The 14845-nt window shown below is 33.7% G+C and overlaps 1 protein-coding gene across 65 annotated transcripts in view, besides 1 other annotated feature; it reads left to right on the top strand.

Moving 5' to 3' along the window:
- Positions 1-14845, top strand: part of TBC1D5 (TBC1 domain family member 5) — a 585470-nt gene that overhangs the window by 54818 nt on the left and 515807 nt on the right. The gene's annotated exons all lie outside the window — the stretch shown is intronic.
- Positions 4971-5171: a silencer, noted in NCBI's record as "peak4556 fragment used in MPRA reporter construct". NCBI's record gives its function as "represses an SCP1 promoter by STARR-seq MPRAs in K562 erythroleukemia cells {active_cell/tissue: K562}" and the evidence as "EXISTENCE:reporter gene assay evidence [ECO:0000049][PMID:32103011]".

Below are 14845 nucleotides of genomic sequence, written 5' to 3'. Positions count from 1 at the left end.
GTGTGACCAAAGGGCTAAGTTTATGGTTTATAAGATATAAGGTGGAATATTGTGTGAGATAAGAGAATAGGGAGGGCTTTTCTTCTCCTTTCAGACTTCTTCCTGCTGCCTGCAATGTAGGTAGATTAGCTGCAATTCTCATAGCCTTCTTGGAATATGAGGTGACTTTGAATAGAAACTGTACGGTAGAGCAAAAAGGTGGAAGGAACTTGGGCCCCTTATAGTTGGAGCTGCCATATCAGCCTGTGATTTTCTTCTTCTGGACATTTACATGGGAGAAATAAATTTGTCTCCTCCCTCCTTTTTTCCCCCTCTCCTTGTTATTATTTGATTATTATTTTTATTGATTTGGGAGGGATGTGACCTAATCCTAGCTGACAAAGTATACTATTATTTAAAGCCTCTATATGATAATATAACAGGTCAAATATAAGGAAACATACATTTTTGTCATTCCTTGGTTTCTTAAAGTGTTGGGATTACAGGTGTGAGCCACCATGTCTGGCTAAATTTAGCTTTTAATGCTCTCATATTAACTTGTTGAAAACATTTTGATATATGAAATTTTTAGAAAACATTTTTTATGACTGTAGACTTACTGTTTAATATTGATTCTAAGAAAGGTAATCATAACTTTAGTCATATAAGTGAAGAATACATATTTGAAAAAATAAGATAGTTTTTGAGCAGTTTTAGCTTTAGAGAAAAATGGAGCAGAAAGTACAAAGGGTTCCCATATACCCGGTCTCCCAAGGATACACTTTTTTTATCCAGGATATTTCACTATACATATTATACATAGAAAAAAGACTCTACATCTATTAACCAAATATATATTATTTTGTAATAGGAAAACCATACATGTTACTTTAATTCAGGGTTTCCTACCCTCATCACTACTAACATTTTAGGCTAGATAATTCCTTGTTGTAGGAGCCATCCTGTGCATTGTAGGATGTTTAGCAGCATCCCTGACCTCTACCCACTAGATGTCAGTAATTCTCCCTAGTTGTGACACACAAAATGCCTCCACGCATTGCCAAATGTCCCTTAAGAAACAAAGTCACCCTTAGTTGAGAACCCATGCTTTAACAATATAGGTGTTTTAGAATTTTCTAAATTTTTCAGGTTTGGCCTAAATTTAAGGGCTCTATAGCTTAATGAATCTTCCCACTGAAGATTGTGTAGGCAAAATGTGGATCTTTCCTGCCACTTGGGCACTGTAGGCAGTATACATAATTTTACTGGGCCTCAGTTTCCTTCACTGAAAAATAGGTAAAATGTTACCTAACTTGAAAGATTGTTGTGAGAATTCACTAAGATAAATTATATAAAACACTTTAATTAATTAGTAAATTAGGTTAATTTCCTTCTCTTCAAGCGTACTATATTGTTTTAATGTAGTCCCTTCAGTGTGTCAAAAACCTATCACAAAGTTATTATTTCTATGGGAACAGCTATCATAACTTGGGATCTACTATTTAAGGATATAAAGAATGCTATACTATGGGTAGATAAAACCTTTGTTAAATGAAGGCTGATTTATGAGGTCAGTTGTGTTTTGACCCTTTATGGTACCCTAATTAGATTGTGACTACATTCAGATTGTAACAGTTAAGGGATCTCATCGTGTTCTTTCAAGGACTTTGAGCTTCCCAGATTGAAGATAGCATTAGATGTCAGCCAATCACTTTGTCCTTTGAAGTTTTTGTCTTTCACGTCTGAAATCCCGCCAATTGTAACAGCTTGTGTGTCAGCCCCAATAGAGAAAGTTGGATACTGTCAAGTTGAAGTTAGTCCACTGAAGACTTCTAAAAATCTTGACATAGTTTATGACTAATAATGTCGACTTCCCATTATTTTTAGAATTGTAAAACATTGTCCACTAGTGAATGAAATGCCATCTGTAATAATTAAGGCTCTTCTTATTATTCTCCTGCAGAAAATTTCTAAAGATTTGGTGAAGATAGGAAAACTGTCAGAAAGGCTGTAGCATTATTATATTGTAGGTATTTCTTTGAAAAAGAAGTGTAAGTTAAGAATGTCTTGAGTGTCCAGTTGTTTGAGGGAAAATATGTTAGAGAAAGATATATATAATATCAAGGCAGTTGTATTATAATTATATTAATGATGTATGAGAACTAATCCTATGCAGTCTTTTAAACATTGAAAATGTGTTCATATGTATTGAGATGAGGATTTTACCAATAGTATTGAAAAATATTTCTAATTCTAACAAGGATTGATCTAACTTATGTACATTTGCTTATTTAAATTATCAAAATCCGGAAAATCATTGTAGCTTTGTAGGTTGTGATATGTTTGGGTGACTTATTATTTAGGTTATTTTGCAGAATTATTTATTTGCTGTTTTATTTATGTATTTCATTATTTATTTATTTGATTATTTAGTAAATTATTTATCTGATGAATTATTAATACATCTTCACGACATCCTTTAAATTATTTATAAGTTAATTTTGAGTTTATTGCTTTTAGACGCTGCATTGTTACTGACTAGTTTTGATTTTTTTCTTTGTGGTTCTTGAAAATTAAAGTATCAGCTCTAAGGCAAAAGTATAGTCATTGCAATGCTCATGGATTTTTTTTAAATTTATGGCAGAGATAAAATTTCAGCTTTTTTTAGCTTTAAATTTACCTATTTAGAGTTACCAGTGGTAGAATGTTTGTGTATTATGTGCATACTCATTTTAGAGTCACTTACAAATTAATGATATAGCCTATCATTTATAAACAGTGATTGAACATGTAAACCTCAGTCTGCATTACCCTTTGTGTCTTTAAAGAACAGATCTGCATTTTTTACTTGTTTTAAAATGAATAAGTCTTGGTTATTTTATTTTAATGGCAAATCTGTTCTACTACTGGAATGTTTTTAGGACAGTTCAGAGAAATGAAGTCCAACTCAGATTTGGATTCTTGACGAATAAATTTGACTGCTGTAATCTTTGTTTTTTTAAATCCACCTTATATTTGTATTGGGAAAACATCAGGCTGTTTATATAAATCTTTCTATATAAATTGTGTATGTCAGTCATAATGACATATTTCTTATGGAAATTTTTATATTTAATGAATGAAAATGGACAAAGAGCTTTATAAATGCAAGCTGTAGTTTCTTTGACTTAGTTAATAATTCTCTTGTGTGAAGTTTCTATTTTTAATCAAATTTAAGATCATTTCTGATTCTATTTCGTAACATAGAGCAGTTATTAGGGCTCTCTTATTGAAAGGGTTTAATGAATAGGTTAAAGTAGTCATTCGGGTGAGTGCCATATGCACAACATGGTCTTTATTTTGTGTTTGCTTGCAGTGAATTAGTATGTACTTTACAGTTTTCACACTTCAGAGAGAAACTGCATTGTACATTTCAAGTTGAGATGCTACTGAAATATAGTGAAAATGGCCTCTGTAGACAGGTTTCACTATAAAATTGTAAATTATGCATACATATATCCAAATTTCTTATTTTGAAATATTGAATATATGAATATTTAATTGGAATGTTCCTTTAGTATCTTCATATGCTTGCCTTAAAGGAAGTGTTTTCCTTTGATTTATATACATGGATTTAGAAATGTGTGTGTCATACATATCTGTGTCTTTTCTGGAGATGAACAACCACAGATACTATTAGATATGGCATTTTCTTTTTAAATGTGCTTCAGTAATGCCAATGTGGTCTTCTTTTGAAAAAAAAAGAAAGAAAGAAAAAAAAGCTTCCTTCTCCAGTATTGAATAATCTACCCAGCCCCTATTATTAACATATATTTGGGGAGTGCTAGCTGTGTCATCTAAGTGATCTTTCCTTGGAAGATACACAGATATGTGCACAGACACACATGCACATGTGAAATTTTCTTATGACATCAAAATAACTTTTTAGGACTTGTTTTTGAAAAGAGACATTAATGTAGACTTTTATAATAATACTTAGCATTGTTGATTTCTTATGTGCAGATACAGAGCTCATATCTTTTACATGGATTATTCGTTGATCTTCACAGTGATATAACTACTGTTCATTTTCGAGTTGAAGAAATAGAGACTTAGAGATGTTAAGTAGCTTGCTGATTGCCACACAGCTGAAAGTGGTGGGGCTCGCATTAGGACTCATTTACTCTGACTCAAAGGCCTTTCTGTGTAGCCCATTACAGTTTTGTACACATAGATAGTACTCCGTAGTTTTTAACCAAAGTTGTTTTACTTTTTTTAGAGAGTACTGGTATTTTCCTCTAAATATTTAACTTGCAAAGTATATTCGTTTTGTATAACATTTAGTCATCTTTCTTAAACAGCAGACAAGTACTTGAGCCTCTTGAATTTTCTGATTTAATTCTTCTTATAATACTGTATTGTTGAGGAAAAATTACATACAAAAGAAGAATTTGTGCTTTGGGGATAGTGTTTGCCTCGTGGATGTGCAACACTCCTATCAGGTCTTTTGACTCTTAAGCCCAAGGCCATTTCCAGGGCTCTATTAGGTAAAATTTAATTTCCTTAAAAAAAATAATGTTATCAGGGTCACACATGTACATATTGTTAAAAGAATGATTAAGTGCTTGTTGCCTGAGCTTTTATAGAAATGACCACAAACACTATTAATCCCAAATATAGTCTTTAATACACAGTTAAGCATTTTAACATGTGCATAAAAAGGACAAGAAAGCAATCAATTATAATTCTAAACTTTTAGATGTAATTATTTAAAATATTCTGGGGAACCTTAAAAAGTAAGGAAAGATGTTCTGAATTAGTATGAGACTAAGAGGAAAAGATCTTTCCAACCTGTTTTCTACTTTAAGACAGAGGGAAGCCTCCATCCTGGGTCTTAAATATTCAGAGCACCTCTGAGAACAGATGAATTAGACGGCAACGGAGTTTGGGTGATATTGGTATGAATGCCATAAGTAACTGACTGCATCTATGTGACCGGTAGGGTACTATATGAATCACTAAAAGTTTTTAAGTTAGAAAGACTTTTCAAGTAAATAATGTTACAACATAAAATCCTAGGAACACGATTTATTAATAGGAAATATTTTAATAACTAGGTTAATGACATAATTTATCTTATAATCCAGGAGAGTTTTGAGAATGAAAGAGTATACTGTAATATGTAACGACAACAGGTATGAACTGGGACCTTCCTGGTCAAATGGGGACCTGTGGTGGTACCTGAACTTCCATTGAGTAATTTCTAATAGTCTTGTAAAGTGTATGTTTAACAGGAGTCTTAATTCATGTGTAATATCTTTAAGAATGTTTTCTTTATGATTAAACTAAGTTCTCTTGTGACAAGTATTTATGTTAGCCAACATAGGCATTTTGTAATTGACTTTAGTAAATGATAACTCTGATGTTTTATGGCTTTTGGAACCTATTTTCAAGGTGACAGTAAAAGATGATTACTTTTGGGAGCAGAACGATAGGTATGGCAAAGTTGATCATACTTTAATGGATAGTTCTAAAGTTTTTCTTCATATAAAGCATTACAGGTTTTTTTCAAAAATTTTATTTTATTTTATTTTTCTAGAGATGGGGTCTTGAACTCCTGGGCTCAAGCAGTCCTCCTGTCTTGGCCTCCCAAAATGCTGGGATTACAGCAGTGAGCCATCACACCTGCCCTGTTAAAGAAATTTTTGTGCTTCGTTTGCCTTGTAAATCTTCTAATTCAGCAGTTCCCAACCTTTTTGGCACCAGGGATTGGTTTCATGGAAGACAATTTTTATATGGACGGTGGGGGGAAGGGTAGGGATGGTTTCCAGAAGAAACTGTTCCACCTCAGATCATCAAGCATTAGTTAGATTCTCATAAGGTGCAGGCAACCTAGCTCCCTTGCATGCGCAGTTCACGGTAGGGTTTGCATTCGTATGAGAATCTAATGCTGCTGATGATCTTACAGGAGGCAGAGCTCAGGTAAGTCATGCGACTGATGAGGAGCGGCCGTAAATACAGAGGAAGCTTTGCTGGCTGGTCTGCCACTCACTTCTTGCTGTGTGGCCTGGCTTCTAACAGGCCACCTACCTGAACCAATCCATGGCCTGGGGGTTGGAGACCCATGTTCTAATTTGTAGTATGTTTGACATTTTCGTGAAATCTAATCCTGTTTGTTATGCCTTTAGAATTTATAATTTCATGTTGGATGATCCAGTGGTCTTTTCTTTCTTTAAAAGCGTGTTACATGTCACATATGTTGATAAAGTTGGCAGTTTTGCCAAAACATTTCCGAAAACAACTATTTTTCCTTGGTGAAATTCTGTGTGGGAAAATAGAAATCTCTAGATGAGAGTAAGTTAATTTTTTTCTATAGTTTTCTTTTGAATTTCCTCCTGATATGTATTTATCTGACATGGCAAATTACATTATTAAAGTCATAGTTACATTGCACAATTTTAATTTGTAGTTTTTGTGTTTAGAACATACATGACTTGTTAAGTTGAACCAGGTAACCAGAGTGGCGTATTTGTACTTGAATGTGCATTAAACAATTGGAAAAATTCTTGTGCAATAAATCTTATTCATATGTATAATATGAGAACTTTTTCTTTGTTCAGAAATGCCTATTATACCTAACAAAAAAGGAAAGAACTACCCATGTATTCTGCCTCCAGTTAGTTACGGTATGAAGCCCTTCCTGAAATACTTTACTATAGTTCTAAGAGTAATACTATGTCTTATGTGTGGGCTCTCAGAGTAGCTTCTTTATAATTATGACAAGTAAAAGTACAGCCAAAGGTCACGGTAAACACAAGATTTCTTTCATGCCTCATCCATTTTGTGGACAGCATATGAAGTAGTTTGGGTCCCTGCACTGATGTTTTAGTAGAGCAATCAAGGTTGTTCTCATGGAAGTGTTTCAAATCTCTTTCTGCCTACCTCCCATGTGGTTGCAAAATTTGGCATGTATTTGAATTCTGGACTAATTAAATAGATCCTTATTAAATTTAGAGTTTGCAAACAAAAAAGGGGACCCTGTTGTACTTCAGGGATTTCTTAGGCTGTTACATAATAGTGATATATAGGAGCCTTTAATAATACTAAATACCACAGTGACTTGATACAGTGTCTCAGTATTGACCATCTTAGTACTGATATTGTTCATAGAAACAGTAAAAACCAAACAACATAGCAATAACAACAAAAACAATATCACACAAATTATATAAAAGACATGCCTTAGATCCTATATTTGACTTTAGTTTGGCTATCTAAATGAGTATTAAAAAGATCATATATAGGAAAGCCTTTTATTAAAAAGTGAATAGCCAGGCACTGTAGCTCACGTCTGTAGTCCCAGCACTCTGGGAGGCTGAGGCAGGAGGATCACTTGCGCCCAGGAGTTTGAGATCAACCTGAGGAACATAGGGAGATCCTATCTCTACAAATATAAAAATAAAAAAAATCAGCCAGATATGGTGGTGTGTACCTGTGGTCCCATGCTGAGGAGGGAGGATTGCTTGAATCTAGGAGATTGAGGCTGCAATGAGCCGTGATCACCCCAGTGCACTCCAGCCTGGATGACATAGCAAGACCCTGTCTTTAAAAAAAAAAAAAGCGAATATACATATATTCTAGAGTGATTATATCAGATCTCTTTAAGTCATCCTCAGTACAGAGTACCAAAAAATGCATCTAAAGAAAGAACATTTAGATGAGGATAAAATTGATAAATTAAAACTTTTAGTATAACTGATAAAAGTGTTTCCTTCAGACTTTTTTCTATTGTTTCCACACCCTAGCAGGCTTTTTCTTAATGTAAGACTTTTAGACTAAGAGTTTTCAAACAAGGTTGGTGCTGCTCCATAAGGAAGTTTCACATATTGGTTTGGGGTTTTCACTTGTCACGATTGTGAGAGTGTTTTTGGCATTTAATGGATGGGGACCAGATATGCTAGGTATTCTGCAATGCAAGGGTCAGCTAGTCTCAGACTACAGATTGTCCCAAGTACCACAAAACTTTTGAATATCTACTTGACCAAACTCTATTCAAAGATAAATCAGTAATACTTCACTATATAAAAATATTGATAAGTTTTTATAAAATGAAGAATCTGATAATTTAGGAGAAATTTGTGTGGAGGGGAAGCTTAAGTAAAATAAATTGTCTCAATATTAATGTATAATGTACTTCACATATTCTTTCCACTTCCTAATTTATAGTGTTTCTAAGTAGATATTTAGTTGAAAAATTTTCAGTTCAGTAATACAGTTACTGAGAGCTAAACAATTGCAAATACACAGCAGGATTTTAAGACTTCTTTTAACAGCAAAGTTAATTTAAGATTTGTGCATCTCATTAAATTTTATCAATTAACAAGGATTTTTAAAAAATTCATGATTGTCATTTTGAATATTGAAGTTTCATTTTTTAGAATAATAATAATAAATGCGTTAAAATTGTGTATTAAAATTACTTTTATGTTGCCCAGTGTTCAGTATTATTCTGGTCTTGTTTCCAATAATCTATTATAAAACATCTCTGTAACTTCTTGTATTACATTTCTTTACCTGTTCCATTTACCTTCTGTTTTAGGAGGGTGTGGTCTCTGTTGCATTATACAAACTTCATGTATGTATGCCTTGACAGTGTGGCAGGAATTCTGGGATAGATAGTAGTCACACTGTCCCACATTTTAGCAATCTCCTCAGAGATTGGATACCTTTACTTTGTTCATATCCGTGGATCCCAACTCATTGTTTTTTTTTTTTTCTGTAACTTTTTCATTATATGGAAATAGGCCCTAGGAAAGGTTGAAATAACTCTATTTTACTCTCAGACTTGATTAATGGTTTGGATATAGAATTCTAGATTGTAGATAATTTTATTTTAGATATTAAAGGCTTCATTTCACAACATTCAGTGTTACTACTGAGAAATCCATTGCCACTTTTTTTTGTCCACCACTTTTTTTTTCCTGGCTATATATGGCTTGTTCTTAATATTCTAGAAGGCTTTAGGATCATTTCTTTATCTCTGAAATTCTATGATAATATGTCTTAGAATGGGTTTTATTCATTTTTTTAAATGAATCTTCAGAGGACCCTTTTAAGAGCAAATGTCTTTCAGTTTGGGATGTTATCTTGAATTATTTTCTTTTCCTGTTTTTTTTTTTTTTTTTTTTTATCCCTCTTTTTCCCTCAGTTCTCTTAGTTGGAGATTCAGCACCAGTGTAGAAGGGGGATGTGTGAGGTTGAGTCATTGCCTGATTGTGGGCAGAATGATTTGCTTCTTAGTGTCTTTTCTGATGTGTTCTGTTATGAGTAACTTCTTTTGATAAGTTATTCATCTGTTTTCCAAAAATTTGTGATCTTCTTTCTGTTTTTCTCTCCACTTCCACTTTTTTGTCCTTGTGAAATACACCTTAAAAAATTATTAACTGCTATTTTAGTAGGGTTTTGGGAGGGAGAAGAAGCAATTTCATGTGGTTAATCTGTGTTTGGTGAACCAGTTGTTTTGTGTACTCATTTTGCAAGATGCAGCTCTTGAAAACTTTCTGTGATTCTTTAGTTATCTTACTTCACCTCCTACATACCTTATTAGAGCACTTATTGTGCCACATTATAATTACTAGTTTATTGCTTATAATAAGAACAGGAATTGTCTTATTTTTATCAATGTTTTTGTGGAAAGCATATTTCTTTTTTTTAAATTATACTTTTAAGTTCTAGGGTACATGTGCACAACGTGCAGGTTTGTTACATATGTATACATGTGCCATGCTGGTGTGCTGCACCCATTAACTCGTCATTTACATTAGGTATATCTCCTAATGCTATCCCTCCCCCTACCCCACAACAGGCCCCGGTGTGTGGTGTTCCCCTTCCTGTGTCCAAGTGTTCTCATTGTTCAATTCCCACCTATGAGTGAGAACATGCAGTGTTTGGTTTTTTTGACCTTGTGATAGTTTGCTGAGAATGATGGTTTCCAGCTTCATCCATGTCCCTACAAAGGACATGAACTCATCATTTTTTATGGCTGCATTGTATTCCATGGTGTATATGTGCCACATTTTCTTAATTCAGTCTGTCATTGTTGGACATTTGGGTTGGTTCCAAGTCTTTGCTATTGTGAATAGTGCCGCAATAAACATACGTGTGCATGTGTCTTTATAGCAGCATGATTTATAATCCTTTGGGTATATACCCAGTAATGGGATGGCTGGGTCAAATGGCATTTCTAGTTCTGGGTCCTTGAGGAATTGCCACACTGTCTTCCACTTTGGCTGAACTAGTTTACAGTCCCACCAACAGTGTAAAAGTGTTCCTATTTCTCCACATCCTCTCCAGCACCTGTTTCCTGACTTTTTAATGATCACCATTCTAACTGGTGTGAGATGGTATCTCATTGTGGTTTTGCTTTGCATTTCTCTGATGGCCAGTGATGATGAGCATTTTTTCATGTGTCTTTTGGCTGCATAAATGTCTTCTTTTGAGAAATGTCTTTTCACATCCTTCACCCACTTTTTGATGGGGTTGTTTTTTTCTTGTAAATTTGTTTGAGTTCATTGTAGATTCTGGATATTAGCCCTTTGTCAGATGAGTAGATTGCAAAAATTTTTTCCCATTCTATAGGTTGCCTGTTCACTCTGATGGTAGTTTCTTTTGCTGTGCAGAAGCTCTTTAGTTTAATTAGATCCCATTTGTCAGTTTTGGCTTTTGTTGTCATTGCTTTTGGTGTTTTAGACTTGAAGTCCTTGCCCATGCCTATGTCCTGAATGGTATTGCCTAGGTTTTCTTCTAGGGTTTTTATGGATTTAGGTCTAACATTTAAGTCTTTAATCCATCTTGAATTAATTTTTGTATAAGGTGTAAGGAAGGGATCCAGTTTCAGCTTTCTCCATATGGCTAGCCAGTTTTCCCAGCACCATTTATTAAATAGGGAATTGTTTCCCCATTTCTTGTTTGTGTCAGATTTGTCAAAGATCAGATGGTTGTAGATGTGTGGTATTATTTCTGAGGCCTCTGTTCTGTTCCATTGGTCTATATCTCTGTTTTGGTACCAGTACCATGCTGTTTTGGTTATTGTAGCCTTGTAGTATAGTTTGAAGTCAGGTAGCATGATGCCTCCAGCTTTGTGCTTTTTGCTTAGGATTGTCTTGGCAATGCGGGCTCTTTTTTGGTTCCATATGAACTTTAAAGTAGTTTTTTCCAATTCTGTGAAGCAAGTCATTGGTAGCTTGATGGGGATGGCATTGAATCTATAAATTACCTTGGGCAGTATGGCCATTTTCACGATATTGATTCTTCCTATCCAAGAGCATGGAATGTTCTTCCATTTGTTTGTGTCCTCTTTTATTTCGTTGAGCAGTGGTTTGTAGTTCTCCTTGAAGAAGTCCTTCACATCCCTTGCAAGTTGGATTCCTAGGTATTTTATTCTCTTGGTAGCAATTGTGAATGGGAGTTCACTCGTGATTTGGCCCTCTGTTTGTCTGTTATTGGTGTATAGGAATGCTTGTGATTTTTGCACGTTAAGTTTGTATCCTGAGACTTTGCTGACATATTTCTTAGATGAATGAAAACATAAACAAAATGCAGAAATGAGGTAGATAATAGATAACAACAGTACAATTTAGTCAGAAGGATTGAAATTATTTCTTATTTTAATCCTATTTCAATTAATGTTTGATTGAGTTTTAAAAACTTAATGGAGATTTATTTCTTTTAGTAAAATATTAATACTGTTGTCATCCTGGGGTAATCAGAGAAATGTCTTTATATTAAAGCTAAATGACAAAGTAGTCATGAGAGTTTCATTGTAATGGAGAATCTTTCTTGATGCATTTAATTAGGAATTAAGATACAAGATATTGAAAAAAATAGAATGACTAGTGGATAGTTTTACGTGTTAAGGAGAGTATAACAATATCATATAGTAAGGGGCAAATAATACAGAAAAAGTCTTATTTTCTTCCATTAGCATATCATTTCAATCATTCCAAATCGTAAAATAATAAATTCTAAGGAAACGTCTTTTTGTTCTGTGAAAGCATGTCATATCCACAGACAAAAGGAAAACATCTGAAGCACAAGATTTGGTTAAAAAAATCTTTGTCACTCTCTTGATGAAATTTCACCATCATAATTACCTGTTGTCTCTTTTTGGAAGTTTTCCTTTGATCATCATGTTTTGTTTAGTTTTATCGATTTTAACTTTAAAGGTAGGAAATATAATTGCTTTAATTTAAACTGTTTAACTCATGACTCCTCCTTTCATATAAGTTAAAATTAGTGAATCAGCAAATAGGTATTGAGTACATACAAGACCCTGGTTGGTTTGCAGTGAAGTTGAAGAGATACTCACTTTAGGAACGTATCTTTTCTTAAGAAGCTGTATGCATGTAAAGAGTGACAGGTGTAAGGATTAGGAGGATAGGAAATATCTCGAAACTGTATATGATCAGTTACCAATGAATGGCTCAAATGGAGTTTCTACTAGTTCAGCTATCTTTAGTAGAACGTTCACACATTCCTAAGTCATATCTTAGGCATGATGTGTATAAAGACAGAAAGGATTGATACTTGATAAAGTTACTTAACAGTGTTCTGAATTTTATTTTTAATAATCTGTCTTGGTAGCCATAGTCTGAGTTATCTGTAACTCAGACTGTTCATTTTTATGCTTGCGTTTGCTTACTTGTTAGAAACGTTCTTAAAGTTGCATAGAATTACTTTGGGGATATTTATTTTTTACTTTTTGATCCCTATACATACTATGTAATCTTTTCATTAAACCATTCAAATTTTAAAAATTAGAGTTTTTACACCAAAAACATATAGATAGTAAGTTTCTGCTGTATACTAGTATTTTGCTTCATAAAACATGGTTGGGATTCTTTATTCTATGTTCACGTATTTTCATTTAAATTCAACATTCATTTTCAAGAGTAGTTTCAGGATAAAATTAAATATATGCTATATTTTTTCACTCAAATGAACTCATTTTCCCCACCTTGTGACCTTATTTTCTTGAGTGTACCACTTAGACCATCTCTATCACTTCATCTCCCCAACTTCCATCTTTTATTGTTTACTGTACTTTCTATGTTATATTGAATCTTGTATACACAAACAAAGTTTATGAAAAGCTCAAACCCAGTGCAGGAAGGTCCTAGAAAAAAAAGTATAATTATGTTATTGTATGAACTTTAAAAATGTTGTCTAGGAACCTAAAACTGCTTAACAGATGTGATTGCTTCATAGTTTCAAATTTATGCCAATCAGAGTTGATAGGATTTGATCACACTCTAGTAGATTTATGAGATAAATTACAATATTGCATGACATACTTCAGATAGAAAAACATCAATATAAGTTGGATATCATTTCTCATTTAAGATAACAAGGTAGTAATTTTTTTGAAATCAGATGGTTGCTACTTTGAGAGAATATTTATCAGTTTTTATGGAAATTAATATCTCTCATATTTTCTTCATGGTGACAAAAAGTATATTAAACTTTTGTTTTCATGTACAAATTTAATTGTAAATGAGAGGCATCTTGTTTCTATTTCGCAATAGATGACCTGTCAAATTTTCAAAGGCATATAAAGAAATGGAGTTGGACTTAAAAGAAATTTGGCTGCAGGAAAGGTTAACACAAGATGGAAAAACTTGTACTTGTGGTACTGAATTTCTTTACGGTTTCAATTGATATGTCCAAAGTCTTACTAGGATTTTTTTTTTTCAAATATGTAGAAGTTTAACACCTCACATAACAAAGAAAATGGAAAAGAACTTAACTCACTAATGAAGTGACAGGTTCCCCCAGGGAAGTCAGAGTCAAGGAATTGGGAGTCAGGCTCTCAAGCCTGTTTGTTCTCATAGCAAATGAGAGAACTATTTATTTAAAAGCCCCTTGATGAGAGTATCTTTAACTTCATTCAGGAGATCTGCATGGTGGAGTCCTTCAGTTCATTTTTGAAATAAAAGCATGAGATCTCCTGAGAACTTGACTTGAAATTGTTACTAAATCAAGTAACTTGTGAAAAGAGGGTAGAATTTTTAGTGTCTTAGATTTAAATTAAAAGTTTTTAGAATATGAAGACTGGCCAAACCAGTGATTTTAAAGAAGATAGACCTTCACGTTTCAGGTAAGAATATTGTAAAACCTTTTAAATTTTTTAAGAAGAAAATTGTTCATTTTGTGGCTTAGATTTTAAAAATTTTAGAAAGTATAGGCTGGGTGCAGTAACTCATGCTTGTAATCCAAGCACTTTGGGAGGCTGAGGCAGGCAGATTGCTTGAGCCATGCGATCGAGACCAGGCTGGGCAATACGGCGAAACCCTCACTCTGCAAAAAAAAAAATACAAACATTATCTGGGCATGGTGGCACATGCCTGTAGTCTCAGGTACTCGGGAGGCTGAGGTGGGAGGATCAACTGAGCCTGGTTAGGTAGAGGCTGCAGTGAGCCGAGATCATGCCACCGTACTCCAGCCTGAGTGACAGGTGAGACCCTGTCTCAAAAAAAAAAAAAAAAAGAAAAGAAAAGAAAGTACAGAAAATAAGTAGAACAGGCAAACGTGTATTTACCATGCGGAATTAGTATGCCACCACATGTATTTTTAAAGTCTTTCCCTTCCCAGAGATAACTGCCATACCGAAATTGGTTTATATCTTTCCTGTTTTTGTATTATTACTACATTTATGTGTCCATTAACATTAAATGTTCTTAAAGGTTACCTAACTGAAATATTCCATTATTTGTTGTTATTCTATTATTTGCAATTTTTTTCCTTCTTAGCCATCGTTATTCCTCAACGGTTACTTGCTGTGATTTTTTACACCTGGTTGATTCATTTTAACTGTTGTGTAATATTTCAT

The sequence above is a fragment of the Homo sapiens genome, chromosome 3 (assembly GCF_000001405.40).
Source record: "Homo sapiens chromosome 3, GRCh38.p14 Primary Assembly".
Lineage (NCBI taxonomy): Eukaryota > Metazoa > Chordata > Mammalia > Primates > Hominidae > Homo > Homo sapiens.
Note: the sequence above shows the minus strand (reverse complement) of the source record. Positions and strands in the feature narration are given on the sequence as shown.